Source organism: Homo sapiens, chromosome 4, assembly GCF_000001405.40.
Source record: "Homo sapiens chromosome 4, GRCh38.p14 Primary Assembly".
In the NCBI taxonomy this organism is placed as follows: domain Eukaryota; kingdom Metazoa; phylum Chordata; class Mammalia; order Primates; family Hominidae; genus Homo; species Homo sapiens.
The window spans coordinates 55,240,806-55,246,472 of NC_000004.12; the positions used below are offsets into that span (position 1 = coordinate 55,240,806).

General features: G+C 42.9%; 2 annotated features.

The window, feature by feature from the left end:
• Positions 342-842: an enhancer, noted in NCBI's record as "H3K4me1 hESC enhancer chr4:56107314-56107814 (GRCh37/hg19 assembly coordinates)". NCBI's record gives its function as "activates a minimal SCP1, AML or CMV promoter by ChIP-STARR-seq in primed H9 embryonic stem cells {active_cell/tissue: H9 hESC(primed)}" and the evidence as "EXISTENCE:reporter gene assay evidence [ECO:0000049][PMID:30033119]".
• Positions 843-1,343: an enhancer, noted in NCBI's record as "H3K4me1 hESC enhancer chr4:56107815-56108315 (GRCh37/hg19 assembly coordinates)". NCBI's record gives its function as "activates a minimal SCP1, AML or CMV promoter by ChIP-STARR-seq in primed H9 embryonic stem cells {active_cell/tissue: H9 hESC(primed)}" and the evidence as "EXISTENCE:reporter gene assay evidence [ECO:0000049][PMID:30033119]".

The window sequence follows — 5,667 nt, forward strand, 5'->3', positions numbered from 1 at the left end:
CAGTTGTCTACCCCTTTAACTCCCTGGTGCAAGTTAGTTAGAATCCCAGCCGTCAAGTAGCCACTGGAAGACTGTGTCATAAACCCTTCATGGGAGAAACAGTAAGCTGTATTTTCAAGCCCTTTCTCTACTCCAGGGGCCTAAAGCCCATGGAAGTGCTTGTGCACCTATATAAAACTGCTGCTTTTTTCCTGTGGTCTAGAGAGACTTGTGGATGCCTCATCCCCTCTGCTCCCAGAACTGGTGAATTAAGAGCCGAGCCATGGGGCACCTTAGAGCTAGAATGTTATACGTGAGGTCCAAACCCTTTTCTCCACAGGGAGAAGCTGGATATTGGGAATTCATTTTTCAATTTTTTAGCAAGGTACCTGGGACAGAGTCCATGCCCAAATGTGCCTCAGCTTTTCCTATTCATTCTATATGGATGTTTTCTCAATTGCCTGGTGGGTAGAAGTCTCTCACCTGGCCTCTGACTTTCTCTCAGTGGGAATTAATTCAGGAATAGATGCTCATTCTGAGAGGTGACAGCATGCTGGCAGCCCTCGCAGCCCTTGCTCATTCTTGGTGCCTCCTCAGCCTCAGCGCCCACTCTGGCTGCACTTGAGGAGCCCTTCAGCCCATGCTGCACTGTGGGAGCCCCTTCCTGGGATGGCAGAGACCAGAGCCAGCTCCCTCAGCTTGCAGGGAGGTGTGGAGGGAGAGGCACGGGCAGGAACCAGGGCTGTGCCCCGCACTTGCTGCCCAGCGCAAGTTCCGGGTGAGCGTGGGCTCCGCAGGCCCTGTGCTCAGAGGGCAGTGAGGGGCTTAGCCCCCGGGGCCAGCAGCTGCAGAGGGTGTGCCGGGTCCCTCAGCAGTGCTGGCCCACCGGCACTGTGCTCAATTTCTCATGGGGCCTTAGCAGCCACCCTCCCCCTCACTCCTGCCGCCCTCCTGCCCCTGCCATGGGCTCCTGCACCACTGGAGCCTCCCCAATGAGCACCGCCCCCTGCTCCACGGCACCCGGTCCCATCCACCACCCAAGGGCTGAGGAGTACCGGGGCAAGGCACAGGACTGGCAGGCAGCTCCACCTGCGGCCCAGTGTGGGATCCACTGGATGAAGCCAGCTGGGCTCCTGAGTCTAGTGGGGACTTGGAGAAACTTTATGTCTAGCTAAGGGATGGTAAACACCAATCAGCACCCTGTGTCTAGCTCAGGGTTTGTGGATGCACCAATCGGTACTCTGTATCTAACTAATCTGGTGGGGACTTGGAGAACCTTTATGTCTAGCTAAGGGATTGTGAATACACCAATCGGCACTCTGTATCTAGCTCAAGGTTTGTAAATGCACCAATCAGCACTCTGTGTCTAGCTCAGGGTTTGTAAATACACCAATCAGCACTCTGTATCTAGCTAATGTAGTGGGGAGTGGAGAACTTTTGTGTCTAGCTCAGGGATTGTAAACACACCAATCAGCACCCTGTCAAAACGGACCAATCAGCTCTCTGTAAAACAGACCAATCAGCTCTCTGTAAAATGGACCAATCAGCAGGATGTGGGTGGGGCCAGATAAGAGAATAAAAGCAGCAGGCTGCCCAAGCCTGCAGTGGCAACCCGCTGGGGTCTCCTTCCACACTGTGGAAGCTTTGTTCTTTTGCTCTTTGCAATAAATCTTGCTGCTGCTCACTCTTTGGGCCCACACTGCCTTCATGAGCTGTAACACTCACTGTGAAGGTCTGCAGCTTCACTCCTGAAGCCAGTGGACCATGAACCCACCAGAAGGAAGAAACTCTGAACACATCCAAACATCAGAAGGAACAAACTCCGGGCATGCCGTCTTTACTCACTGTGAGGGTCTGCGGCTTCATTCTTGAAGTCAGTGAGACCAAGAACCCACCAATTCCGGACACAATTCAATGGAGGAAGTCAAGAGCTTCCTCTTCTGACATGTGACTGGCATCACTTTGAGCCCCTTAAATATTTACAGAAGTGAGGCTGCTATTCCCTCTGGTGAGTCCTGGCAAGCTGAGGAGCTTGGAGCTCAGCTTCAATTAAGCCTTCCCTCCCTAGAGCCAAACACAGCTAAAGCCATGAAGGAAGAGAAGCTTGTTTTCAATGATACACCATACCTTCCTGGTAAGAACCCTGGTGAGCCAAAAAAGGAAGTTTAGGGAAAGGTTGGAGAAATAGAATGCCTTTATCTTCCTTATTGTATCAACATATTGTAATGCTTTTAATAGCATTAATTTTAGCAATTTTTAAATTGGCATGACACAAGAGAAGATTTCCAAGAGCACAATGCCAAGTATAATCGTGACCTTGTTACAATTGGGATGGCAAGGTATTCTAAACTGTATAGTGCCACAGATTAGAAGCTTAGCCTCTCTGTCCAGTTAACCTAAGCTGAATGTAAAAGGGAAAGTGTAATTCCTGTTCTACATTGTAGAATTTTGAGTATAAATAATTAAATTCACAATAAATAAACACCCATAAAACAGCACAGGACTCCCTGATTATGTAGGGAGTGGCCACTTCTGCTTCCTCAAAATAGGCCTGGAAAACCAATCCTCTGGGGCAGCAGAAAGGAAGACCCTTAACATAACTAATGATCAAAGTATCTGGCTGCCTGTGTGGGGAAGCTCTCCAGGCTGTGTTTACCAGTGCCCTGCCTTTCTTCCTCCTAAACACAGAAGAAAAACAAGGTGGAATCTTGAAGTGCATTTTAGAAAACCCCATGTAAATTTCAGGATTAAAATCAGGGACAATCAGGGCTATAGAAGCAATGGTTACAAAGTTAAGATGGATGCTGATATATAAGCACAGGAAATGTCAGAGACGAGATGCACAATGTGAGGAAAAGAAAAACAGGTATTTTAAATGTTAGTATTTTTTACTGAGTTTTCCCCAAACCTTTCAGAATTATAGTTACATATTTAGATGAGTGTTCCCCTTCTCATTAAGGAAGACAAGTCATTTATAAACATAACCATAGGAGACAACATGGGGAGAAGATAAGTTCTCTAAGATTTATATGCAATGCGTGTTTGATGCATCTAAGAGGGAGAGACTTTCCTGGCTGGGGGAGTGGGGACGACTTCATCGAGGGGAAGACATATGGACTGTGTCTTCAGGGGTTTTGACAAGCAGAGATGAGGATGAAGGGCATTCAAAGAGGAAGAGAGCAATATTAACAAAGGCGTAGAGGCAGTTCAGTTTGATTAATGGGTAAGATTCACGAATTATGAGAGTAATACAAAACTGGAATGAAAGAGTGAGCTGGGAACAAATTACGAAAGGCCTTGAATACAGTAACCAAGAAGCTCAGACTGTATTCAGTAAGCAATGTGGCATCATTGAAGGTTTACAGGTGGCAATGTGATCCACGCTCTGATTTTTTTGATTGGTTGATTATTTTCCAGGTGAAAGGCCAAGAAATAGATTAGCCCAGAGAGGAGAGTAAGGAAGAAAGACCATTTGGGAAACTTTTGCCATATCTGCTGAAAGGAGATAATGATTTAAACTAGTGAAATAGAGACTTCTAATGATGCTGCTACTGACATTGATGGTCCAGAATAAGCAAAAAAACCTTTAAAGGTGATTGAATGAAGCAGAACTGCCAGTATTAGCATCTCAAGCAGGTATGATAGTAAGACACAAAATGTTTTTGTAGTTCAGGGACCTAAAAGGCAAAGTATGCAATGCTTGGTTTTCTGAAAGACTGACAAAGCTATTAATGAAATAAACAAGTGCCTACTCACAATCAGAAAAAGTTACTCTGGAAGCCACAGGGCTGGGGCAGCATCTTCAAATATAAACAAATATAAACATCAAATGTACTTAGAAACAGATGATTAAATAAAGAACTGTTGTAGAGGCCAGGAGCAGCGGCTCATGCCTGTAATCCCAGCACTTTGGGAGTCCAAGGCAGACAGATCACTTGAGGTCAGGAGTTTGAGACCAGCCTGGACAACAGTGAAACCCTGTCTCTACCAAAAATACAAAAATTAGCCAGGCGTGATGGTGGGTGCCTGTAATCCCAGCTACTTGGGAGGCTGAAGCAAGAGAATTGCTTGGTCCCAGAGGCAGAGGTTGCCATGAGCCAGGATCACTCCACTACACTCCAGCTGGGGTGACAGAGGGAGACTCTGTCTAAAAAAAAAAAAAAAAACTTCTCTGGAATTCATAAAAGAAGAAATAACAATGACTCATATTACTTTTTTAAAATCTTCATTCTCACGAACAACAAAGAAAAGCAAATGAAAATGTAAAAGTTTTTACCTATTAATTTCACGAAGATTTTTTAAACTTTTAATATTCAAGTTGGTGAGAAAACAAAGCCATCTGGCAACATGTATCAAAATTCTTAAAACTGTTTATACTCTTTGGCCCAATAATCCCACTCCTAGAAAATTATTCTAAGGAAATAATCACTAATATTTGTAAACACTGATTTTGTTTATATCATTGAAAATTAGAGGTAACCCAAATAGTCTGTAATTGGGGATTTCTTGAAAAATTTTTGGTTCCTCCACTATGAAACAGTAGGTAGCCATTTAAAAGTATTAATTTTACAACTGATGTATAATGAAACAATTTTGAAATCACTGCAAACATAAAGTAGTGATTTCAAAATTGGTTTATTACTTATTAAGTGAAATATTAGTGATCAAAAGAATATATAAGATACAATCTCATTTTTAAAACATATATGTGATATGTGATTGAGAACTATACCATTCATTAAAGTTAACCATGCTTATCTCTGAAGGGTAAGGTAATAAGTGATAGTTATTTTTTTCTTGTTTATCTTTTTTTGTAAAGTTTATATAGCAAACATTTATTACCATATAAGAAAAATGGATATCCTTAAAACAGCTGGTCAATGGGCCTCATTAGTATAATTATTGTAATAAACATTTCTTGAGCACATACTGTGGGCCAGGCACTGATCTAGGTGCTGTGACAGCAGGCACTATTCCTCCTCTCATGAGACTTACCATTCAGAAGATTTACTTCTCTTGTTCAGTCACTTAAAATGGGAAATATACGTGCCTTTGTATCTGGACTCCTTTCATTGCAAATGACAACATCCAATTCAAAATAGCTTCTGCAAAAAAATAGAAAACAAAATATTTGGGAATTCATGAAACTGAAGTCCATGAGTAACTGACTTCACACATGGCTAGATCATTTGGAATCTTCAGAACTTGGCATCTCACAAAATTTCACCCTACTTGTCTTTGTGTTTGCTCCATTTTCAGGATCTCCTGATAATGTCAAGACGACTGTCAACAGCTCCAGACTTATATGCAATGTCCTCAACAGACAGCAAAAATACAGATACTTTCTTCCCAATTGTTTAAAAAAAAATGCTCAGATGGTTCTAATGGGGTCATGTGCCTGTCCCTGAACCATTGTCCATGACCTGAGAAATGTGATGCACTAATCAGTGAGTCTGAGTTCATATAGCCTACCTTAAATATGAACTGAGGTTGGAGGAGAGACTTTCCCCAAAGAAAATCATGAGGCAGGGACTGGATGCTGAGACTGCAAAATAAGAGATGTCCACTATGGTCTTATAGCAGAAGCATGGAGCAAGATGAGCAAGTTGGAGTCCGGGCTTCAAGTATAAAACTTAATTCAAAAAACCAAGTTGCATTTTCACAATATATTTAATATAAGTAGGTGAC